Below are 13,133 nucleotides of genomic sequence, written 5' to 3'. Positions count from 1 at the left end.
TCCATTGTATGAATTATCACAATGTATTTATTAATTTTGCTGTGGATGGATATTGCATCTTTTAAAAAATAAATCCAATTAAGTCAAATCAGCATTAATAACACTCAGTATTACATTAAATCAGTGTTTACACTGCTGAGTTATTGGTGATTGCAAACTACCAAAGAAAGGCTATTGAGAATAGCATCCCTGTAAGGCTTCTAATGTAGAAACCATATTTCATAGTAAAACCATATTTCAATAACAAAATATAGCACAGATTAATCAAAAGTGTTGAAGAAATGTATTCATTATGTGTATGTATGTCTATATTACAATAGTTGAGCGGGACGAAATGGATGTACTTATGAACCAGAACGTGCCGACATCGTCTCAGATAAAGAGAGAAACTCACTGAAAGAATATGACTGAAGTAAGAATCTGCTGTGAAGAAATAAGGTAAGTGTCTTTTTCATTGAATAGAAAGGATATTTGGGTTGATAGAATGACAAATTTTGAACCAAGGGCCAAATATGGTACCTTTGGGTGTTCAATATATATTAAAAGGCATGAGGCAGGTTCAGCATTTTGATAGTAAGTCAAAGTTGGGAACTACACATTGGAAAAGTGGAGGAAGTATAAGTTAGTGTTAAGCAGGCTGGAGATATTTGTGACCATTTGTGAAACTGAGACGGGGTGGAAGAGATGGTAAGAAAACTCAAAGTATAATAACTAGAATTAGAATTTAGCAGAATGTTCAAAAAGAGTGTTGAAGAAGAGGGTAATATCAAGCCAGATTTAAGGGTTATAATTAGATACAAGGAAACAAACATGGGGTAGAGTTCATAGGATTGTAAGAAGTGGTGACATAATAGTTTAACTAAAGGTATGACACTTCATTCCAGAATATAGTATTTCTGTTCACTATTTTATGTTTAAAATGCCTTCCTGGAGTGAGGAGACAAGATACAGGGATTTTGACTCTTACCTTATTTGACCCATCAAATCTGAACAAGGGAAATAATTTTAACAGAAAGCTAAAATTTTGGAAATTTTGATTTTAAATCTACTTGTGCTAGTTTATTAAGGTAGTATATTTTCCTTAAGAATGAGGAAATGCTTATTTAAATGGGCTACCTTTCATGATGTTCCCTAAACCCAAAGTAAGTGATGTATTTTCTTCCCTACTTCTCTATACTGTCTTTCCTTCTTCTCCAGTATATTGGAGAGAAAACGTTGGGAAGAAACAATAACATTTATTTAACTGATGGCTGTACTTCACTCTTGGTTACCATGGCTAGCTACTCTGATGAATTCTATTTTTTAACATTTCTGAATTATTCCAATACATACCTATGTAGAATAAAAATACATAAATAACACCTAAAAATGTGCATTTTACCCCCTTGGCATTGTAGTGTCATTAAATTTTCTAGCGTCTCTCTTATACACAGATATAACTGAATTTACTTAATTTTAGGAACAATCTAAGTCATTACCTAAATTTCCTCAGATAGCCGTATTTCCCAGAAGTCTGGAATATATCTGAGTATTTTTTTTCACTTACATTTTCTTCATTAGAAAGAGTAATAGCTTTTCTCTGTCCTCCTTATCAATTAACATTTTCTTTAATTTCTCTAATTTTGAAATCATTTTCTTTTACATTAGTTGTGACTGTATTATTTTGATTTTTATTTTGTTTTCTGTCCTTGTGAACTCACTATTTAAAATCTGATTTCATTATATTATTGCCTTGTCTTGGTGCTCTTACTTTACAGAATCATTATGGTTATTATGTTCTTTAAAGCATGAAATGGGTGTCTTCCCCTTAATTTTTCCCTTAGTATCTTCAGATTCTTAAACTCTAATTTCTACTTTTATTTTTTATTGTAATATATTTGCCTATTTTACATTATTTGCTGTTGTTAATATTGCTGTTGCTGTTTACATTCAAATTGAGTGGCTCTGTTCAAACCTTCTCTTGGCTTTAATCAAGTGTGAGTACATTCTTGTCTCCCATTGCACCAAATCTGACCATTATACTTGTTCTTTTTTGAGTGAGATTTTGAAATCTTTGGTTTGAATTCCCTCTCATTTTAGTAGCCTAGGATAACCAGTCAGGGGTACAAAGAGACTTCTGATACATCTATGTCCAATATTTTTCTTGAAATCTGAACTCTGCTATTTCTTCAAAAACTTTTTTTTTAATCACCTGCATGAGCATACATCCTGAGAATGAGTGGTCTATTCTATTCTGGGGACACCAGGTTTCAAATAATTTGTTTTTGACATTGACAAATTTTGTTTTTCCTTCCTCTGCTAAATCCTGCGATGGAGAGGGATAATAAATTGAGTTGTTTATCCTCAGGAGTTTTACATTATATTTTTCCCATGTTGGCTACACACTCTCTCACTCAGTCTTCTTTTTTCCATATTAAGAGTAATTAGAAAAATATTAGAGATTTTTTCTGCTCATCTACATTCCCCTTTCACCTTCCATAGAAAATGGCTGCCAGTCTAGGAGTCATTTCATTCAATGTAAAGCCACCAGAAATATTAGCTACTGGACATACTCTTGCTGTGTCACACTCATAGTCACTAAAAAAAAAGTCCTTAAAATTGCATAATCTATTTATAAATATGTCAAAAGTCAATTTTTTTTTTCGTTTACCACAATGACTACATATTCACTACCCTTTTTAAACTTAAGACCCTTAATTCCCACATCTTAGAAGATGGTCCTGCCTCCTATTTCACAGAAAATAATGACAGCCATCAGGAGAGAACACCTTTAACTTCTTTGCAACTAAGTTACCAGCATGTACAACATGCTTTCCTCCTGTATTCTTTATACCAATAGAAGAGCTGTTTCTTTGATTAGGGTCTCTTTTTTCACCTACACCCTGGAGTTCATGCCTTTTTAACTCTTCAAGGAACCTGAATCCAAATGTATCTTTCTCGTTTGTATCTTCATCTCATCCTCTAATTTTAATAACTTTATTGAATCAGTATTAAAATACTTCAATAATTAATTCAACTTTAAATGCATAATCCTCTCTTTTATTACTCCTGCCAGGAGCCACTCTATCTCCATGCATAGAGTAAAAGTTTCTTAAACAGTTGTCTAAACTTTTAGCTTTTATTAAATCTACTATGTCTCTTAATCCAATAAACCACTAAGCAGTTTTAATGCTATGTCATAAATACTTCTAAATTCAATCTAATTTTGCCGTTTTCACCGAAAATATATTCATCTGGGCTACAACTTTTTTAAAGAAAATTACCTTAGTTGAATCTTTAAGCTAACTCACTTTCAAACTACAGCCATATCACTTAAGAACGGGGATACATGCTATACAATTGAGGTTTGTGTAAGTCAAACACATCATTAGGAAATGTAATTATGCTTCAAGCATCATAGAGTATACTTACACAAACCTGGATGATATAGCCTACTACATTCCTAGGTTTTATGTAGAGCCTACTACACTTGGGCTATAAACATGTATACTATGTACTGAATAGCACAGGCAATATGGCAGTTTTTTACCATTGTATATCTAAACTTATCTAAACATAGAAAAATACAGTACAAACGTGGTATAAAGGATAAAAATGGTACACCTCTATAGGGCACTTACCATGAATGGAGGTTTCAGCACTAGAGGTTGCTCTTGCTGACTCAGTGCGTGAGTAGTGAGTGAATCTGGGGACCTAGAACATTACTGTACACTACTCTAGACTTTATAAATGCTGTACACCTGTGCTATCCTAAATTTATTATAAAAATAAAAATTGCACTATTATGATGTCTACAACATAGCTAAGCAATAGAAAATTTTCATCTTCATTGTAGTTTTATGGGACCACTGTGTTACATGTAATCTTTCATCACCAAAATGTCTTTATGTGGCACGTGACTATAATCAAAGCAATCAGAGTGGACTTCCAGTAATGCAAATATATTAGCACATCTCCTTTTAATGGTTCATTCACTTCTTGTTTTCCTTACAATGGAATTCAACCCTTAAACACAATAAGCAAGGTTCTACAAGATCTGTTTTGTAGACTTATCTAGCCTTAGCTTCTTCTCCTTTACCATATGCTTACTATGCATTAGCTATAATAAATATTTCCAGTGCTTCCCAAATACAATGCATCTTATTTCCATTATGACACACTCTTCCTTTTTCTCTTCTAGAACAAAAGTGCCTACTGGTAGCTACTGCTCCTCTTTTGTACATGTAAGTTAAAAATTACATCCAAAGGGCATTTTTTTCCTTAATTATTAAAATAAAGTTTTTGCTCTGTTTTTAATGATGTCTATCTTTTCTCTCTAATAGCTTTAATTATACTTTATTGTTATGACTTTTATAATGAACATTTTTGCAAACTATAAATGCTCTGGAGGTAAAAATCATACTGCCTTTTTTTTCAGGAAATCCCTATAGCTAGTACAGTTGCCGAACCCTAATATATGTTTCTTTTCTAATGAAAGGGAGAAGAAAGTGGGTATGAACCTAAACAGGATGCTGATCACATTTTCAGAGATTATGATATGAGTACTGGAGAATGAATTAGCTTCCACTGAGAGTGTTTGAAAAGAAATTGTACCTTAAACAAAAGGTGAAGATGTTGTAAACATTTGGAGAAAACATTTAGAGATAAAGTTATTAAAGACTGTAGGGAATTCCAAAGAATGAAGCAGAAATATAAAGAGTAGAGTCAAGAAAATCAGGAGAAAAGGAAATGGAATAATGACTCAGAGGAGAAGAAATAGTGAATAGGAGCAACTGTACAGTATTAAGAATACTGTGTTCTATGAGTTCTCTGCTTCATTTTTCTATTTTCAGATACACACACACATGCGCGCGCACACACACACACACACACACACACACACACACACGCAGACATTATGGTATAGAAAACTCTTAGGTTAGCTGAAATATCCTGATTCCTTCCCCACAGTCTAAATCATTTTGTTGGATTTGTATTTCTTTAGGTTTTTCTAGGATACCTGGTTAGCTTACTTGAATTCTGATACTTTAATTTATAGTTTAATGAGCTAATAATTCTTTACATTATATTTGAATTTTAATAATTAACAGTATTTTTCACACTAATAAAGTGGATGTAAATTTTTCTGAAAGTCTACAAACTAAAAATATTAAAAGTAGAATTTTTTTCCTGTCCTTTCTTGATTCACATCGCAGGCAGCAGTCTTTTGTGCATACATACAAAATTGACCTTGGAGAGAAGGAACATAAACAAAATTAAGTGGCTATTCAAGAAGGCACTTCTCTTCAACCCTCATAGTTTCTAAAGGCTAGTATTTAAAAGCCGTCTGCTAATTTTCTCTGGTCATTTCCCTAAGCCAGGTCCGCATTTTAACATAGCATAATCACAAATTCATTGCAATGTTTAATTCTCTTCTTTCTTGAATGGAAAGTTAGAGCAGGTGAGTAGTGAATTTTCTGAAGGCAGATAGATCATTGTGCTTTAGGCTCAAATAATATGCTACTGTATTCTATCAGTCCCTTAAACTACAGATGAGAGTGAAGGGAGTAATGGGATGGGAAGCAAGGTAGAGCTTCCTTCCACAGTGGTGACCTCCTGAGCATGGAGGGAAAATTGAACTGACTCATGCTTGGAACCAGATGATGAATACCTGAGAGGAAATCCTCTGAGTGGTGTTTATTTTCCACGCTTTATGCTGATCTAAAAAATGTTCCAGTTCATATTCTCCGTGGGATGTTCACAGTTGCTGAAATTACTGCAATTCGCAGGCCATAATATTCTTGGGGAATAAAGCTCAACAAACTATAGAGAATATTGGCCAGTCATTAATATTAGCATATTAATGCAATCAGAGTGACTCTAGAAGGAATCTGAAAGAGAAAAATAAAATGATTGTATTTTACGTGACCTTTCCTTTAAATAAGCATAAGGAAATAGTTGTGAGAACGTCTGTGAATAATTTCTAAGATCCATATCAATTCTCAATCACAGAGAGAAGATTTTTATCCTTTCTTTGAACTATTCAAGGTTTTAAAAGCTTTATGTATTCCTTTATATATGTATATATGTATGTATGTATGTATGTATGCATTTATAGGGGCAGTTACTCAAGTGTGTGTAAGACACTGGCTAAAATTTTGACCTGAGTTTTCTAGAAAAGCACCCTATATTTTAGTTAACTTATCTAGTTAATCAATTTTTCAAATTAGTTTTTATTTTAATGAGTATGCACACATTATATCTATCTCTGTAACTATGCATGCAGGTATAAATATATATATATCATCTGTCTATACACATAGAGAACATAATGAAATTCTAGTTTCTGATAGCTTTTGTTAACATTTTTATGTTTAAACTTTTTGTATTTAAAATGTTTCTATCTTTCAAACATGAAAAAGTGTCTTAGAGCTCTTTAGGAGATTTTTAAAACATCTCACCATTTTATAATTTTAACCATTCTTTAGAACTTATTTTCAAATATATTCTATAATTATACCTATAATTTATTTAATCAAACACTTTTTATTAGAAATTTTTTTCATTTTTAGATGCTTCAGAATTATAAACCTGGGAATTATAGGTATATTCTTAAATAAATTTGAGGACAGGTTGTCAATTATTTTCCTAGAAACTACTGAAAAGTGTTTATCATATTATACTAAATTACCCTCTCAAACTGTAAGTTCTTTTTGTACACCCAGCAGCGCTGTGCAATATTGCTAATTTCTTTCCAGAAATTAGAAATTATAAAAGACATACATACACACACAAAGAAACTAATATTGCTATATTATTGAGATTTTATCTTTCAGTAAAATCGCTCTTTTAATTTGCATAGCTTTGGATGTTAGTGATATAAACTATTTCTTCATTATTAATTAATTATCACAAAATTATTTTTATTTGTATTTTAAATTTATGTGAAGTACTTAAATATGTTTACTATCTTCTTTCTGATTTCCAGACGTTCATTCCCAATTCACTGTTTGCCTTTGAGTTCTGAAAAAAAAATTCTAAACAATATTTCTACTTTTATGTAAATAAATATATTGTCTTTTCTCCTTTATGCTTGACTTTTAGAAAGTTTGTTTCCAGTAGAAGTCACAGTTATATTAAATAAGTCACTAGTAAGTCCATTTACGTGTTTTCAAAATACCGATATGTAAACAGTGATCACTGTTGCTGCTAGCATAATCCCGTTTTCTGTATAAATGAAGGTATTTACAGAAATGTCAGATACGTTTCAGGAAGGGGAGCACACCACAACTGAATTAGCCAGCTGGCAGGGAAGGTTAATAAAACTCTTATGACAAATGTTATCACATAAAAAAAGAACTTATCAATGTTATTTAGACATGGAAACAGGATTCAAGATCCAAAAAGACTGGTGGTTCTAACTTATAGTGTGGGAGCAACCACATTCACCTATCTTCTCTCATCTTACCTTGGCAAATGTATGTACCCAGGTTAAAAAAATTATATAAGGATGAACAAACCGAAAGCCTCAGACCTGTAGTTTAGGGTAGGATTAGAACCAAAAATCAAACTACTTGGTATGGTAAGCAAGAATAAAGATTGTTCTCGTTCCAATATTAAAAGAGATAGCTAAAATAACCAGTATTTTATTTAGGCAATGACGGAAGTCTGAGTAGTCTTCGATAGGTGTGTTGATAATTCTGGCTATAGCAAATGAGAGTTCATTATTATTTTTCGGTGTAAATATCAGATACAGTAGCCTCAAAATTGTAGTTTTACTTACTCCCATATCCACTGAATATTTATTGGGGCAGGTAAGACATATTATAAAGTTATTTCTAAAAATTGTTTGAGAAGCAGATTCTTTAAGAAACTTTGATTTTGTAGATTGAGACTCCAAGTAAGCACTTAGCAGATAAAATCAGTGCCATTCAGGTAATATGTATTTAAACAATAAATTTATCTGGATTATTAAAAGCTGTAGGTTAAGGTAGGATTAGAACCAGGAAAAATTATGTAATAAAAGTGATAAAGAATTTCTGAGGACATAAAGTATGTGTAAGTGGTCTAAAATGCTAAGGAGAAGAGGACTAAACCATCAATTGGATCTAACAGTTGGACTAAACCGTCAATTGGATCTAACAGTTTGTAAACAAGATGAAATACAGACAGTTCCTAACTTACGATGGTCCAAGTTACATATTTTTTTACTTTACGATGGTGCTCATATACCCAATCTGTTTCTCATTTTTAGTACAGTATTCAGTAAATTCCATAAGATATCCAACACTTTGTTATAAAATAGTCCCTGTGTGAGATGACTGTGTACAACTGTATTCTAATGAAAATGTTCTCAGAATGCATAAGTTAGGCAAGGCTAAGCTATGTTGCCTCAGTAGGTCAGGCATAGTGAATGCATTTTTGACTATGATAGACACTATTTCCAATTGGCTTATTAGAATGTAACCCCATTGTAAATCAAGGAGCATCTGTATATTGTTCCAATAGACTGGATGCATCAGTGATGGTGAAAACATATGGAATATAGATGCAAATGTCCATTATATAATATAAAAGGAGAAAAGAAAAATGTTAAGACTGAAGATATCCAATAGCAAGTTGGTGAAAAAGAATCAAATATGGTGTTATCCATGAATGAATGCAATTCTAGGCACGTGGTACTTAATAATAGAGCATAGTAAAACTAAGATACCCTCTAAGAAATTCTCTGTATTCCAAATATAATCTTCCTCACCTGTACTGTGGAGTCGTTGTTCAGTTTCTCCTTGTTATTCAGGATCACTGACCTCAGCCAGCACAGTAACTTCCTTTTTTGCCTGGTGATTCAGAGGCATAAGGAGCCCTGAGTAGACGGGCAGTACTATTAACCTTCATATCAATAGAAGCACTGTTGCGTCTCCTGATGGAAGCATTCTTTACTTTGGAAATAAGATCTCTTGGTCAGTAGACCATAAAGGCGCAGGAACAGAAATCAAACATTTTTCTAGTGAGTCACCAGGGATAAGAGTGAGTGGTGCCAATTCCCTTTGCACACTTTGATTCTTGAACCTGTGAGTCCTGGCTACAGGAGAAACAAAACCATGTATCGGATGCTGATTCTGAGCATATACAACCTTGTGGGGACTCTTGCCCTTGCCCTGCATGTTATTGCCACCTCATTGGCATTGTAACTAAATATTCAAAAGGCCAGCCTTTGCACTGTTCTGTTGAGCCAGTTGTTTCAGAACAGTGGACTACATGGTAAGGCCAGTGAATTCCATGAGCATGGGCTCTTTGCCACACTTCATTTGCTGTGTAGTGAGTTCCTTGCTGTGTGAAATACAAAGATGGTAGATGTGGCATTCTGTAAGTCCACAGATGGTAGTTTTTGGCAGAAGCATTGTGTGCAGAGAAGGCAAATCCATATGCAAAGCGTTTTTGCCAGTAAGAACAAAATGCTGTCCTTTCCATGGCGGAAGCAATCATCCTTTCACGGTAATCACCCAAAGGAATGGTGTGCCATCAGAGACTCGAATTTGGCTTTTGCTGCTGGCAGATGATGCACTCAGCTGTGGTTATTTCCAGGTCAGCCTATGCGTATGGAAGTCCACGTTGCTGGACGCCTGTGTAACCTTCCTATCTGCCAACATGGCTACATTTTTCATGAACCCATTATGGATGACAGGGTTGGTTGAGGAAGAAAGCTAAATGATATACACCGAATGAATGATGCTATTCAGTTTATTATTAAAATCCTCTCCTGCAGAGGTCAACTTTTGAAAAGCATTCACAAGGGACATAAATAACTTCATTTTTTTTTTACTTTTGTATATTCATAGAGGTTTATCTGCCCCTCTTCCCCATATTTCCTTGTTACCAGTTTTTGAATAATGTTCCTTCCAAATCACTAGCCATCCAGCCAACCACTGGCCACAGACAGTGAATTAGTACCTCATCACCTGTTTGGCCATTTCTCCTTCAAAGCAAAGCGAACAACCAGTGATACATATCAAATGAAAAAATGTCAAAAATTTATAAGTCTCTATAAACAGAACTTTGAGTAACTAAATGATTCCATTCTCATATAAAGGCTTACTATACCACAATTAAAAACATTTTATACATAAATATTGATTAATATTAAAAAGTATTTTTGTATGTCTTCATATATATCAAGTATGATTTATCAATTATTTTACATGAATATTTTCTGACATTTCTATGAATATTAATTTTGTAATTAAAAATGTGAAATATAAACAACAACTAGTTCATCAATCCAGTATCCCCCTTCATTTCTTGCCTCTTTCCCTTCTGGTTCATTGCTAAACTTCTTTAAAGTATTTTACATACTCACTGCTTCCACTTTACCTTTTAGGCACTCTCAACCCCACAGAAATCTGTCCTGTGTTTACATGAAGTCTCTGAAATTTTTCTAAACATGTATACTACTAACCTCTTGACATTAAGTATTCAATGGAGAATGCTTCATTTACCTGATCTCTTTTTTTTTAATTTTATTATTATTATACTTTAAGTTTTAGGGTACATGTGCACAATGTGCAGGTTTGTTACATATGTATACATGTGCCATGTTGGTGTGCTGCACCCATTAACTCGTCATTTAGCATTAGGTATATCTCCTAATGCTATCCCTCCCCCCTCCCCCCACCCCACAACAGGCCCCGGTGTGTGATGTTCCCCTTCCTGTGTCCATGTGTTCTCATTGTTCAACTCCCACCTGTGAGTGAGAACATGCAGTGTCTGGTTTTTTGTCCTTGCGATAGTTTGCTGAGAATGATGGTTTCCAGTTTCATCCATGTCCCTACAAAGGACATGAACTCATCATTTTTATGGCTGCATAGTATTCCATCATTTACCTGATCTCTTAATATGATTCTATACTTTGTGAATTGCCTCTTCTTTTAAATTGTTTATTCCCTTATTTTCTATGAAAGCATATTTGCCTGATTTTTTTTTATTTTTCAATTTTATTTAAGATTATTTGGTAAACTCTTCTTTCTTTTGTTGGCATTCTCCCAAATTCTGATTTCACTTTTATACTTGCTCTGCATACTTTTGTTATTTCATTTATGCTCATGGTCTCTCTTAAACTTAAATATGTATGATTTTTTTTTCTTACTTGTTGCCCAGGATTTTATCTTGAGCTTTAGATTCCAATTACCCCCAACCCCCACCATTGCATTTGGTTGTCCCAAGGATAACATTAACTTCCTTCTGTCCCCTTACTTTCTTCCCACCAAAACGCTAGTTTCTTCTGGGTTTTACAGTTTCAGCAAATGTAATATCCATTCATTCAGCTATCTCAGTTAGATACATGAGTAAGCTTTGACACTGCTTTATGTCTCTTAAAAACAAAATAAAAACTGTATTTTTTCTCTGTTCACTATTATATCTTAATTAAATTTTTATCTCGTTGATTCCAATCTTAACACATTCTAATGTCTTCTCACCCCACCTTTTGAAATATCTTGCTTAAATTCAATTTGTCCATGCCATATATCGTATTGGTCAGGGTTTTTGTTCAGGATAATAGAAACTACAAATTGCTGTAGGCATTTCAATAGAAAGTTGCTTAATCAAATTTAGTGTTTAATGTAGTGCTTAACAAAATGTTTGCAACGGCTGGAGGAAAAATATTGGGAAAATATTTTGCTAGATATAGGGTTTTATATAACTTGCCTAATTCAGAGAAGTTTTAGGAGCACAAGATAATACACAGAGTGATCATACCTTTCTGGGGACATAAAAGTGAGTGAGTGCAATTAAATGCCCAAGAGATGTTACAAAACATAACTTTTCTCAAAGCCCCCAGTTCTGCTCCCTACTGCTGGATGAGCTGTAATGTGACTTCATATGTTCTTCCATCTACCAAATTTAGCAAAAAATGACTTTTGCACACAAAAGATTTGGGAAGAGGTATTCAAAGTTCAGTTCCTGCAAAGCAAGAGAGAACATAGACGGGGACAAGAGTACTGGGTTACTGACCTGCAAACAAAATCACCAATAAAATCTTCTATACGCATATGCAAAACTTGTAATTTTATAGATTTTTAAATAGTTTGATCTAAATTTTAAACCTATATTAAAAGATCTTTTAATATCTTGCCTCTACTTAATATTCCATCTTTATTTAATCACTGACTATACTGCCAATTTTTTTAGTAAGCTAATTTCGCAATTTTAAATTTTTTCCTGTATTTTCCTCCCCACATCAAAATTCTTTTCTCAAAGTTTTTTAAATGAAATTTCATTTAAAATAATTTTTCTGCATCTTCATTAACATGTTCTTCTACTTCACAAATTCCTGAGAATCTGTAATTATACCTGTCAATGCATTTTTAATTGTATGTTGTAATTAGCCCTTTTTATGGGGTTCTACCCAAATTGGTTGCATGCTTCTTGATGACAGGTATTATTTCTTTACAGAATTGCATACCCACTATTTTGTTTATATAAGGCATTAAATTATTATTTGAAAGAATATATTAATGAATGAATTTTAACAATGTCTCTTTAGTGTTGATCCTAAGTTCACTTTTTATTTTATAATTTTTGAAGTTAAAACAAGATTTTGGTTAATACTTATTCAAATAAAGGCAAATTTTGTTTCATTACCTCTTCTTTTTTTTTTCTTTTTCTAAACTCTTTTTTTGTTTGTTTGTTTGTTTGTTTGTTTTTATTATACTTTAAGTTTTAGGGTACATGTGCACATTGTGCAGGTTAGTTACATATGTATACATGTGCCATGCTGGTGCACTGCACCCACTAACTCGTCATCTAGCATTAGGTATATCTCCCAATGCTATCCCTCCCCCCTCCCCCGACTCCACCACAGTCCCCAGAGTGTGATATTCCCCTTCCTGTGTCCATGTGATCTCATTGTTCAATTCCCACCTATGAGTGAGAATATGTGGTGTTTGGTTTTTTGTTCTTGCGATAGTTTACTGAGAATGATGATTTCCAATTTCATCCATGTCCCTACAAAGGACATGAACTCATCATTTTTTATGGCTGCATAGTATTCCATGGTGTATATGTGCCACATTTTCTTAATCCAGTCTATCATTGTTGGACATTTGGGTTGGTTCCAACTCTTTGCTATTGTGAATAATCCCACAATAAACATACGT

At 33.4% G+C, this 13,133-nt stretch overlaps 1 long non-coding RNA gene across 1 annotated transcript; it reads left to right on the top strand.

The window, feature by feature from the left end:
* Positions 1–327: 327 nt before the first annotated feature.
* LOC105378882 (uncharacterized) lies at positions 328–4,767 on the top strand. Its single transcript, XR_947659.2, has 3 exons — positions 328–438; positions 4,181–4,223; positions 4,478–4,767. It is a non-coding gene; the product is annotated as an uncharacterized LOC105378882 (long non-coding RNA).
* The last annotated feature ends 8,366 nt before the right edge of the window (positions 4,768–13,133 follow it).

The sequence above is a fragment of the Homo sapiens genome, chromosome 1, assembly GCF_000001405.40.
Source record: "Homo sapiens chromosome 1, GRCh38.p14 Primary Assembly".
Lineage (NCBI taxonomy): Eukaryota > Metazoa > Chordata > Mammalia > Primates > Hominidae > Homo > Homo sapiens.
This window is presented reverse-complemented; position numbering and strand designations above follow the sequence as displayed.